The 13,637-nt window shown below is 37.1% G+C and overlaps 1 protein-coding gene across 16 annotated transcripts in view; it reads left to right on the top strand.

Moving 5' to 3' along the window:
• EYA3 (EYA transcriptional coactivator and phosphatase 3) overlaps positions 1–13,637 on the top strand; it is a 118,267-nt gene that overhangs the window by 3,025 nt on the left and 101,605 nt on the right. For 5 of the 16 annotated variants that reach the window (XM_047449420.1, XM_047449416.1, XM_047449417.1 and 2 more), the window contains exon 2: positions 5,135–5,254. The exons of the other annotated variants lie outside the window; for them this stretch is intronic. The gene's annotated coding sequence lies outside the window, so the exon portion shown is untranslated. The remainder of the gene's footprint in view (positions 1–5,134; positions 5,255–13,637) is intronic. 16 annotated transcript variants of the gene reach the window in all.

The raw sequence follows: 13,637 nt of genomic DNA, 5'->3' as shown, positions 1-13,637 counted from the left end.
TTGGTTCTTTTTTGTCATTTTATTTGCTAATGTACTTTGTCTTACTTGTTTTGTTTGTTTGTTTTTTGGTCCTTGAATCCTGTGTTTACGGAGATGTAGTTTTTTGTTTGTTTGTTTGTTTTTTTGAGACAAAAAACAAAACAAAACCTTGCTCTGTTGGCCAGGCTGTAGTGCAGTGGCACGATCTCGGCTCACTGCAGCCCTGACCTCCTGGGCTGAAGTCATCCTCCCACAGCCTCCAGAATAGCTGGGACTACAGGTTCATGCCACCATACCTGGCTAATTTTGAAATTTTTTTGGAGAGGCAGAGTTTCACCATGTTGCCCAGGCTGATCTCAAACTCCTGGACTCAAGCAATCTGCCTGCCTCGGGCTCTCAAAGTGCTGAGATTAAAGGTGTGAGCCACCACCCACAGGCGGCTGATGTAGTTTTGAAAATTTAAGAAACAAAGTATACCTCCAACAAGTCCTTGTCACTTGTACCTTGTAGCATTATGGTTTCTGTGCTGTGCCTAAGCTGTTTCATGACTTCATTTATTTTGTTTTGATTATAAATAAAAGCCTCATGGAACTTCTTTTTAGGTAGCGGTTTGTCCAAAAGATATTTCTGTTCTGCATGTAACAACAGGATACTTTAGCTCATGTATGATTTAAATGGAGGAAGAATAGTTCAAAATAGAAATGTGTATTTTAAAATATTAGGAATAGTCAGCACTTTGGGAGGCCAAGGCAGGCAGATTGCCTGAGTTCAGGAGTTGGAGAACAGCCTGGGCAACACGGTGAAACCCCATCTCTACTAAAATACAAAAAATTAGCTGGGCGTGGCGGCGTATGCCTGTAGTCCCAGCTACTCGGGAGACTGAGGCAGGAGAATTGCTTGAACCAGGGAGGCGGAGGTTGCAGTGAGCTGAGATCGTGCTACTGCACTCCACCCTAGGCGACAGAGCGAGACTCATCTCAAAAAAAAAAAAAAAAAAAAAAAAAAAAAAAATATATATATATATATATATATATATATATATATATATATTTTGGAATAGTCAATGCTTCCCAGATGTTCATCTAATTGGTTTATACCAAAAGGTTGAATTGTTATATTGATAGTAAGGTGGAAAATAGGTGGACTTTCTGTTTTCTAATTAACTTAAAAATACAAGTGCATATTCTTTTACAAAGTGTATGGCTTAAGCTCTAAACTACCCTGTTGATACTGGTATCTTTTACTGTCAGATAACATAGCAAATAATGGAACATATCATCCTTGATATTTTTATTTAGTTCCATCAACCTAAGTTCCAGGGTAGCTAATTATTAAATGTAGAAGTAATTTAGGCATTTTCTCTGTTCTTTATAGTAGTATATTTAAAAACAGCCATTTAAAATATGGGCTTCCTAAAATTTGTCTTTGCTGTTTTCCCATTTAAGTATGCAATAGTATTTTGAATCAGAAAAGGAATGTGTAGTTTAAATAGTGCCAACTTACTGTAAATAAGTTAACAGATCAGCCCAAGGCAGTCAGTGCTTAATATCGTGAAGATCTTACTACAGATTGTTTTGGATGCACTTTAACTTATTAGCTGTGGTTAATGTTTGTAGCAGTTAGATGGTTTTCATTTTCTTCCCTAGAAAATAATTAGCAATACTCTTTGTAATACATTTATTTCAGCAAATATTGTTTAGGCACCTACTGTGTACAGTTACAGTAATACATATTTAGGCTATTTATGTGGCTAGGTAATATTGTACCAGGCTGATATGTACACTTAAATTCTGAATTTGATCTTATTTGTACATTTCTGAATTAAACGTAAGACAACATAATTAGAATTAAATAAACTTAATTAACATAAAATCATGTTCTTTCGTTATAGATACAATCAAATAATTTTCACTTGGGAAACTTTCACAACTGAACCATGAAACTCTGTAGTGGTAAAACAGTAAAAATAAAAGTGAACTTTATACAGCACTTACTATGTACCAGGAACTATTTTAAGTAGTTTACATGTATTAACTCTTTAATCTTTACAACCCTATGAAATAAGGGTACTATTCTTTTTTTTTTTTGAGACGGAGTCTTGCCCTGTCGCCCAGGCTAGAGTGCAGTGGCACAATCTCTGGTCACTGCAACCTCTGCCTCCTGGGCTCAAGTGATTCTCCTGCCTCAGCCTCCTGAGTAGCTGGGATTACAGGCGTGTGCCACCAAGCCCGGCTAATTTTTGTATTTTTAGTAGAGATGGGGTTTCACCATGTTGGTCAGGCTGGTCTTGAACTCCTGACCTCGTGATCTGCCTGCCTCAGCCTCCCAAAGTGCTGAGATTACAGGCGTGAGCCACCGTGCCCAGCCAAGGGTACTCTTCTTACTATCTCCATTTTACATATAAGGAAACTGAGGTACAGAAGTTATGTAACTTGCCCAAAGTAACACAACTAGTTATCAAAGAGCTGGATTTGAACTTAGTCTTTTTGGCTCCTGAGTTAATCTTATTTGTACAAGGGTCTGCTACTTTAGTGATTTCTTTCTTTATAGGTTGAGGTTAAAAATCTAGTTTGTCTGAAACACAAAAGAATACTGCTTTTGGTTAGGAACCTTAAGGAGGGTTTTACTTGGCCTTTTTACTAATGCTGGCTTAAGGCAAATTGCAAACCTTTTACTACCGATGTTTCTCAGATGGCAAAACCATATATTAAGAAAGCAATAAGGGATCAAATTCCTCCCCCGTTAGAAAAATTATCTTATGGAAGTTAATTACTTTGGAGTTACTTGGAGATAAGTCACTATTTTTTATAAAATGGCCCCTCGAAGTTAATTTTTTTCTTTTACCTTCAGAGTATTAAACAAATTTATGTAATAGTCTTAAAATACTTAAATCTTACCATTCCCATATGAATTTAACAACTTTGAAATATAAAACAGAAGACTAAAACTGAAACATCTGATTTGCCACTGGTCTCATTTCCAAATTTGGAAATTTATGTGAAATTAAGGACATTCATCTCTTCAGGACTATCATGTTTAGAGTACATTCATCTCTTTAGGGCTATCATGTTTAGAGTAGTATATTTAAATTAGTGATTTTATTTTTACTTTAGAAAAGATGAGGGGAACTTTCACAAACAAATTACTTTCTAAATGAGAAGATGCAAATAATAGTCATTTAGAATATTATTGATCATATTAAGATGATTCTTTTGTTCCTTTATTAAGCCCAAATAAAAAAATTTAATCAAATATCTGGGGGAAGGAGATTATTTTATATAAGTTGAGGTGCACCTTAATGCAGGAGTCTTGTACTCAGATAATGATATTATTTTTCTGAATATTTTGAAAACAGTCGAGAATCGTAGAATCTGGTTTACAGAAAAAGTATAAATATTTCTGGTAAGAAGTGACATTTGATTAGGAATACTAATTTTAATTCTCATGTTAACTCTTATTAATTGAGACATTAAGTATACTGTTTTTTTATAGTAGCTTTTGTCCTTTTTCCACTTGGTGGGAAAGTATTGTTATGGAGCTGAACAGAGTAAGCTTTGCTATGATGATAATACTTGTTGATATTTAGAATGTTCTTTACTTTTAGTTAAACATTTAATTTTTGATTCAAAGCAATTCCCTTTTAAATTGCTTCTGCAATTTAATTTAATTTAATGGCTTCCACATTCAAAGCAATGTGGGTCTGATAATCAGTGTATTTAAACATTTCAATAGTTTTCTTTCACCTGAAATTTAATATTGTAGCAATTACTGAATTTAGGAAAATTGGTAGGTAGTTGCTATCAGCACCGTTACTACGGGAATACATTAGAATGATTAGCTTTTAGGTGAAATTGAATTTTTTCTTTAGTTTCCATAGTGACTGAAAACGATTTAGGTCAGCTTCACCTGTTGTGCCCCTCCCCCTTTTCAAAATAAGAGGAACATTTAATTTAGCACAATGATGTTAATTTTTTCCTAGTAGATTGATGAAATGAATGTGATAATCTCACTCTCTTTACCAAAAGAATAATCCAATATATACATGTATGAATTTTGGGGGAATATTTCAGACTTTAGAGAACATTATAGGATAAAAAATAGTACCTAAATATCTTATAAAAATCAGTGTTTTATTACATCACTGAATTTTTCTCTTTTAAATTTAAAAATGTCAAATTTAGGAAACATCTGTGATAATTTAAAGAATAATTTTTGAAATCTGCTTTTGCTTTTCACCAGGTGTTCTTCTGCTATAGGTTAGGAAGCAGTAGTTAGGCAACACTAATGAATAATATTCTTGAGAGTGAGAACTAGAGCTTCACAAAGAGAATAGGCCATCTCTCATATTTAGTGGGGCATTTAATAGGTAGATAAACTGAAAATTTTTGCTTTCATTTCTATGTATTTTTTGTTAGTATGTATTTATTTACTGTAGGTACCTCACATTCTGTGCAAAAAAAAATTTTTGGAAGTAACTCAGTGGTTTCCTTTATCTTTTTTGTTCTCTTTCAGAGGCTTGCTTATATAAAACTACAATTTAGAGAACCATCGGCCGGGCGCAGTGGCTCATGCCTGTAATCCCAGCACTTTGGGAGGCCGAGGCGGGAGGATCACCTGAGAGGCAGGAGTTCAAGACCAGCCTAGCCAACATGGTGAAACCCCGTCTCTACCAAAAAAAAAAATACAAAATTAGCCAGGCATGGTGGCAGGCGCCTATAATCCCAGCTACTTGGGAGGCTGAGGCAGGAGAATCGCTTAAACCCAGGAGGCGGAGGTTGCAGTGAGCCGAGACCACGCTATTGCACTCCAGCCTGGGCAACAAGAGCGAAACTCCGTCTCAAAACAAACAAACAAAAAAGAGAACCATCAAACTCTGAATGTTGTTTCCTCTGTAGTATGAAGTGGTTATTTTCTTCCCTTTTTGACTGGCCATTTTTTTTTTTTTTCTGATAAAGTGGCTTTTAAACTTTTCTGATCATGACCCACTATAAAATACATTTTACATTGCTATCCAGTACTCAGACACATATATGTACATATTAATATTTGAAATCGAAACAGAAGTTTCTTGAAACAGTATCTTTACTACTGGTGATGCATTGTAATATTAATATTTTCTATTCTATTTTGTTTGTTTGTTTGTTTTTTGAGACAGGATCTCACCCTGTATCACCTGGGCTGAAGCGTAGTGACGCTATCACGGCTCACTGCAGCCTCGACCTCCTGGGCTCAGGTGATCCTCCTGCCTCAGCCTCCCAAGCAGCTGAGACTACAGGTGTGTGCCACCATGCCTCACTAATTTTTTTTGTTTGTTTGTTTTGTGTTTTATAGATGCGGTTTCACTGTATTGCCCAGGCTGGTCTTGAACTCCTGGGCTCAAGTGATCCTCCTGCCTCAGCCTCCCAAAGTGCTGGAATTATAGGTGTGAGCCACTGTGCCTGGCCTCTATTTGTTTTATTGTTTTTAATTTAAAACAAACTGCTGGTTTCCATTCACTAAGTTGATATCAGTGCCGTTACTACGGGAATACATTAGAATGATTAGCTTTTAGGTGAAATTGAATTTTTTCTTTAGTTTCCGTAGTTAATGCAATGTACCTGCAGTTTGCAAAATTTTAGTGACTGCTAGATCTTTCCCCTAATATTGTCTTTTTGTAATGGAAAATGTTTAGGTTTGGGGCCAGGTGTGGTGGCTCATGCCTGTAATCCCAGCACTTTGGGAGGCTGAAGTAGGAGGATCACTTAAGCCCAGGAGTTCAAGACTAGCCTGGGCAACATAGCGAGACCCTGTCTCTACCAAAAAAAAAAAAAAGAAAATGTTTAGGTTTGCTAGTTTTTTTCTCTGCAATGTACGTGGATGGATTCTGTAAAACTTAACCTAAATAGCTGCAGAACAATCATTGAGAGAGGGAGGTCCTGTTGCCCTGATTACCATTACTGTCATCCCTGTTCTTTACCATTTCTAGGCACATTATTTTAAAAACTTATTTTGGAATCGTGAGGTTGAAAATGCTCGGTTGTATGCTGAGCTTCTATCGTTAGAATCCTTTGCTAGTTTCCATCTAACAGTCCAAAGTTTAGGTCCTTTCAGTTGGTTTTCACAAACCTTGCTTCTGTTCTTGGCAACTAGTCAAAAGGTTACAAAGCTGCTTTATTCTGCTCTCTTCTGGCCCAAGTCCAGTCTTTGTAAACCAAAAAAAGAGGACTGAGGAATGAAGCAGTTTGCTCATGTGTATATGGTCAGGTGAAATAACATGACTGAAGAGTAATTAGGGTTTGCGACAGTGGATTACATTTATGTATTGTCCCAATTCGTTTCCTGTAATCACAAAGGGGGAAAGGGCGTAGAAATATCAACAGTTCCTTGCCTATCCTAGCTGGTAGAGTGAAACAGGGTCAGCAGACATACTCTACTATTTTTATACCACTACCTGCTCTTAACACTTAGTGAGCACTTACTATGTGCCAGGCACTATTTAAAGCACTTCACTTGTGTTAACTCATACTCATACTTGGGAGGCCTGGGGAAAAAAAATGAGAATGGTAAAGGATAAAGAAGAAGACTTGCCATCTTCTCGTATGTTCTCATTACTTGGCTTAAGAATTCTGGCTGTTGATGACTATAGTATGGCATATCATACATTTTAAGCTCAGTCAGCTTTTAAATATCACCAGTCCTGTCTGCATTGTTCCATTATGAGACACATAGCTGTGGTTTGAGAACTCAGGCTTTGAAGCTAGCCTGCCTGGGCTCGAATACCAGGTTGGTGACTTACTATGTGTATAGCATTGGGGAAGTTACTCTCTGTGCCTTAGTTTTCTCATCTGTAAAATGGTGATAATAACAAATAGCTTCTATTTTATAGACTTATTGAAAGATTAAAATAATTAATGTATTACCTGGGCATGGTGGTGCATGCCTATAATCCCAGCTACTCAGGAGGCTGAGGCATAAAAATTGCTAAACCTGGGAGGTGGAGGTTGCAGTGAGCTGAGATCATGCCACTGCGCTTCAGCCTGGGTAACAGAGCGAGACTGTCTCAATTAAAGAAAAGAAGAAGAAAAAGAAATAGTTAATATATTAAAAGTACTTAGAACGGTACCTGACCCATAAGAAGCATTCCATAAATGTTTGCTATTAATAGTATCAACTCACAGTTGGAGCTCCTGAGAGTGTTTGTGACTATGATGAGTTCTGTATATTTGCTGAGTAACAGGGCATGATTGACATTTAATGTTATATTGCTCAGGAGCTTGAAAATATCTTGTCTTGAGGACCTGTAGGGAAAGTTCTTGTGTAGCGTGTTGGATTTAAAGCTAAAGGTTATCAAGGCTACAGGCCCAACTTTTAAAATCTCTCTTAGGAACCACTTGTTATTTGGGCCGTAATCTTAATAGTTTTAATGGTTTGCTATTTGGGAAAACTTAAGTGGAGCTAGTTAGTGAATTGACTTTCATTCAAGACCAGATTTCTTTCCTTTTTATCTTTGGTGTAAGATATTTATTTATTTTATTTTTCTTTAACAAACACTTATATTATCCTGTCTGATGGAGTTTTGAAGGGGTAAATAAATTTGGAGAAATAAAACATTAATAAAAAAACTGAACCTAGATTTTACAGTTCTTCTAACAGCTAAAGACATAGATTTCAAAAGACTTAGTTCTGTTAGTATAGTGTATAGTCAGTGTTATCCAAACACTGATAAGCTGATATATAGGACTGATGTATAGATGAGATATATAGGTATGTAGAATGTTAGAGAATTGATGACATAGGGTACAACTTTGTATAACTGGAAGCAGCACATTTATAGAATATTCATGTTGTGATTCTCAGAAATTTTAACTGCACAGATTAAAGAAGGATGAAGATAAAGTTTTAGAGTCTTTGAGTCTGGATCTTCAAACAGATTTTTTAAAAAATTTCTTTTATCATATTCTTATTCTTTTTGATTTCTTGTTTTTTTTTCATGTCACTTGTTAACACCCACTACAAACAGAGAAATTCTTATGCTGACAAGTTACTAAAATTGGAGAGAGATCCAAGGAGTGTTGGAAGAAATATAGAAGAACCATTGTACTGTTATTAAGCTCACTTTGACATAGCTAATTCAGGTTAACCTCCTCCTTCTTAATACTTTTTACTATGGTTTTGAAATTTTTCCTTTGGAACACATCTTCCTGTTTCATTAGGAACTTGTTGGGGAAGCACGGTGGCTCATGCCTATAATCCCAGCACTTTGGGAAGCTGAGGCAGGCGGATCACCTGAGGTCAGGAGTTCGAGGCCAGCCTGGCCAACCTGGTGAAACCCCGTCTCTACTGAAAATACAAAAAACTTAGCTGGGTATGGTCATGCACACCTGTAATCCCAGCTACTCAGGAGGCTGAGGCAGGAGAATCGCTTGAATCCAGGAGGCGGAGGTTGCAGTGAGCCGAGATTGCGCCACTGTACTCCAGCCTGGGTGACAGAATAAGACTGTCTCAAAAAAAAAAAAAAAAAAAGATTGTTTTGTAAACAATTTCAAAGGATGATTTTTGTTAAGTAATATTAGAAATTATAAAAACAGACCGGGCGTGGTGGCTTGCACCTGTAATCCCAGCACTTTGGGAGGCTGAGGCGGGTGGATCACCTGAGGTCAGAAGTTCGAGACCAGCCTGACCAACATGGAGAACCCCGTCTCTATTAAAAATATACAAAATTAGCCAGGCGTGGTGGCGCATGCCTGTAATCCCAGCTACTCAGGAGGCTGAGGCAGGATAATCACTTAAACCCTGGAGGCGGAGGTTGAGGTGAGCCGAGATCACGCCATCGCACTCCAGCCTGGGCAATGAGAGCGAAACTCTGTCTCAAAAAAAAAAAAAAAAAAAAGAAATTATAAAAGCAATTATTCTTAGAGAGACATTTTTTTTCTTTTCTTTCTTTCTTTTTTTTTTTTTTTTAGGCAGAGTCTTGTTGTGTCACCCAGGCTGGAGTGCAGTGGTGCGATCTCAGCTCACTGCAACCTCCACCTGGGACTACAGGCATGTGCCACCACACACAGCTAATTTTTGTATTTTTAGTAGAGACAGAGTTTTACCATGTGGGCCAGGCTGGTCTTGAACTCCTGACCTCAAGTAATCCACCCACCTCGGCCTACCAAAGTGCTGGGATTACAGGTGTGAGCCACCACGCCTGGCCGAGATTCTATTTCTGGTAAACTAGTATTTTTTTCTATTAAGAATTTGTTAGAGCCTAAATATATGTATATATTTTAAAAAGCAACTTTCTCAGTAAGTTCTGACAGTGTTTTGTTAAGTGTAAAGTTACTATAAATAGTCCTACAGCTGATAATACTATGATATGTTAGTCATGCCTCCAGAACAAAGTAGCCAGAAGAATTCACCAAATTTACTGCAGTCAGTTGGCTGCACTATTTATTTATGGAAGGTATTGACCAGTATGGTGATGGTTTTTATCTGTCTACAGAAAGTCCCATCAGGGAGGTGTAGGTGGTTGCAGTTTTTCTGGTTACAGAAATGTGATTTGTGCTGTTGCCTAAGTTATGAGAGCTGAAAGACTCTCTTAGGATCACACTAAAGGGAGCCTTAAGAGAGGTTAGCTGAGTGTAGGTCTGCTGGATATTTGTGTCTGCTTTAGCAGGGCTCTGAATACAAAGGATTCTGAGTGGATATGTTAGTAAGTATGTTAGATATTTTTTTAAAGGTATTAAATCAAGAAAGGTGGCTTTCAGCTGATGAGACTTTAATGGATTTCTGAAAGATAGGAAACAGTGAGACCAAATTGTTGGAAAAAATAGGAGAAGAAATCACAGCGAAAAGTATATGTAGAAGTTTCAGAAATGTAGCAGACTCCAGGTAAACAAATATGAAGAACTGAAGGGTACCTGGAATATTTATCAATGGCAGCAATCTGTGAGCATTTATTCAAGAGAAATGGCTGAATCTTGGCAAAAACAGCAAACTTTGTGGCATTTTAATTTGTGCTTTTCCCTCTAGCTCCTCAGTAGCCTTGAAAACCAACAGCCTCCAATCATGGTGAAAACCAGCCACTGGAAGGGATAGATCGAGTTTAGAGTTCTTCAAAACTCCATTCCCAGAGTTGTCATTATTTTACCTAGCTAGTAGTTCCTTGAAAAACCTCATTCACAAGACCATCTGTATTTGACCTGACTTGAAGCTCACTTAGTACAAACAACCTTTCCCCTTGCAGTGTTTATTGAAAACAGTTAAAGGCAGTTGTTGAACAACTTGAGTGCTCACCATCTTGAGTGACAGTGAATAGTTAGATCGAATAATAGGCTAACCAAGAAGCTTAAAAGGAAAAGCTGGGAAATGAGATGTTCATAAGGAAATTTAAGAAGCTCTGGTATATTTCTGGGAATCTAGAAGGCTATGTGCATGTGTAGGGTTGTGTGCTGCATGCTTAGGAAAGAACTAAGAAGGTCCTAAGCTGTCAGTTCTGATTAATCTCTAGACTTTGTGCAAGCAAGAAGTAAAGGCTAAGGAAGGGTTGTAAACTGCTTGGCTGAATGTGAAAGGTATGCCCTAACACATGTAGTTAGGCTGTCAATACACACTGAGTCTTATACTGGTTTTAAGCATTTAAGGAAGTCTCTGCCCAGTCATTAGCTGATCACAAATGAACAGCAGAGACTTTAGTGACCACATATGATAGAAAATTAATATTTTAGATAATTAGTTCAGGAAAGTCACTAAAAGAAACAACAATAAACAGTAACAACAGTAAACAGTAATAACAACAAATACCTGGTAGGGGAAGAATCTGATTTTTCGAGTTGTCACATTACCTTATTTAAAATGTTTAGTTTTCAAGAGACTGTTATTACAAAGCATGCAAAAAACCACTTAAGTATGGTCCACACATAGGAGAGAAAGCAGTAAATTAGAAAATGTTCCCTGAGGAAGCCCAAATGTTAGACTTTAGTATTAGGCAAAGACTTTAAATCAGCCATTTAAAATATGTTCAAAGGGCCTGGTATGGTGGCTTGCACTTACTGAGGAGGGACAATTGCCACTGCACTCCAGCCTGGGTGACAGAGCAAGACCTCATTTCTTTAAAAAAAAAAAAAAAAGAAAGTTCAAAGAACTAAAGAAAACCATGTCTAAATAACTAAAGTAAGGTTTTGTGAACTATATTATATTAGTCCACTTGGTTTGCCCTAACAGAATACTATAGATTGGGTGGCTAAAATAACATGTATTTTCTCACAGTTATGGAAATTGAAAGTCTAAGATCTCTTTTAAATGAGTACTAACTTCTATTTTAGGTATAATTGCTTCTGAATAATTGTATGTTGTATAGTTCTACCTCTAGTGTTTAAGATAGGGTAGAATTCTTCCACCATTTCAATTTAAATAAGGAAAGGGTATCTGAAGGTAGTCACATTTAGAATAAAAATAAGAATTTATACAATTTGACCTTAAGTTATCTATGTAATGGAAAAATTCTTCTGTTATGATGGTAACAGGTAATAGAGCCTACATTTCAATCTCTGTACTCATAAATAAACTGTTGATCCAACTGTTTTTATAGTTTTATCTGCCAGTGTTTCAGATCTCGTTACTAATAAATAAACTATTTATTGTTCCAACTATGTTTATAATTTTGTTAGCCAACATTTCAGATCTCTGTACTCATAAAAAAACTGTGGTCTGTGTTTATAATTTCATTTGTTTGTATTACAGTCATAGAATTTTATGCAGTTTCATATGTGATTTTGTCTAAAAATCTAAGTAGATCCTATTATAACTTTTGAGGTATAATTTACATACATTTAATTCTTTTAAACATACAGTTCTGTAAGTTTTACAGATGCATACAATTTTGTAAAACCACATCGAGATACAGAGGGCCAGGTGCGGTGGCTCACATCTGTAATCCTAGCACTCTGGGAGGCCAAGGCGGGTGGATCACCTGAGGTCAGGAGTTCAAGCCCAGCCTGGTCAACATGGTAAAACCCCATTTCTACTAAAAATACAAAAATTAGGCTGGGTGCAATGGCTCACACCTGTAATCCCAGCACTTTGTGGGGGTGAGACAGTTGGATTACTTGAGGTCAGGAGTTCAGGACCAGCCTGGGCAACACGGTGAAATGCTGTCTCTACTAAAAATACAAAAAAATTAGCCAGGCATGGTGGCACATGCCTGTAATCCCAGCTGCTCGGGAGGCTGAGGTGGGAAGATTGCTTGAATCCAGGAGGTGGTGGTTGCAGTGAGCCAAGATCGCGCCACTGCACTCCTGCCTGGGTGACAGAGGAAGACATCATCTCAAAAAAAAAAAAAAAATTAGCTGGGTGTGGTAGTGCGTGCCTGTAGTCCCAGCTACTTGGGAGGCTGAGGCAGGAGAATTGCATGAACCTGGGAGGTGGAGCTTGCAGTGAGCCAAGATCACGCCACTGCACTCCAGCCTGGGCAACAGAGTGAAACTCTATCTAAAAAAAAAAAAAAAAAAAAAAAATATATATATATATATATATATATAATAGTTTCATCAATCCCAAAAAGGATCCCTTGTGCCTCTTTATAGTCAACCTTTTTTCCCATCCCCAACACTGGCAACCACTAATCTGTTTTCTGTCCTTGTAGTTATGTGATATAAATGGAATTATACAATATGTAGGCTTTTGAGTCTGGCTTTGTCCACTTAGCATAATGCATTTGAGTTTCATCCAGATTGTTCTGTGATTTACTGTACAGTATTCCATTGTATGGGTATACTGCAGTTTGTTTATTCATGTGCCAGTTTGAAGGGCATTTGAGTTGTTTCCAGTCTTTGGCATATATATGAACAAGCTACTGTACACATTTATATACAGGTTTTTATGTGAACATAAGTATTCTTTTCACTTAGGTAGATACCTCGGAATGGGATTGAAGGATTGTATAGTAAGTGTATGTTTACCTTTATAAGGAACTGCCAAACTGTTTTCCATGACTGGCTGAACTGTACCATTTTGCATTCCCACCAGCAGTGTGCAATTTCTAATTGTACATTGTTCTAGTTGTAGAGTTCTTGTTGTTCCACATCCTTGCCAGCATTTGGCCAGTTTTTTTATTTTTATTTTAGACATTCTAGTAAGTGTGTGCTGGTATCATATATACATATATATTCCCACCCTTCCCCCAGGGCTCTCTGTACTAGTCTCTGCTTAGCCTAAACGAAAGGATCTAAATCTACAGAGGCCAACAGTCCCAAACTTTTGGAATCTCCTCTGAATGCAGCTCATTACTGTTTACTAGATTCCAGACTTCATTCAGATTTTACTACTTTTTCTACTAATATCTTTTTTCTACTCAAGGATCCAATTCAGGATACCACTTTGCATTTATATAGTTTAATTTTTATTTCTGGCTGTAACTAACATGTTATTGGTTTATAAGATACTGCTACTAGTTTTGGTTCTGTTTTTTGCAAGACTATTTTTTCAGTTCCTATCTGTCCCAAAATGCTTTATATGTCACATAATTTTTTTGGGGGGAATGAATTCAATTTGTGTGTCATCATTTTGAGTTGCATTCAGAGGAGATTCTTAAAGTTTGGGACTATTGGTCTCTGTAGATTAGATCCTTTCATTTAGGCTAAGCAGAGACTAGTACAGAGGGCCCCTGGGAAAATTGTTTCAATTAAGAGTCTTTA

Source organism: Homo sapiens, chromosome 1, assembly GCF_000001405.40.
Source record: "Homo sapiens chromosome 1, GRCh38.p14 Primary Assembly".
NCBI lineage: Eukaryota > Metazoa > Chordata > Mammalia > Primates > Hominidae > Homo > Homo sapiens.
Note: the sequence above shows the minus strand (reverse complement) of the source record. Positions and strands in the feature narration are given on the sequence as shown.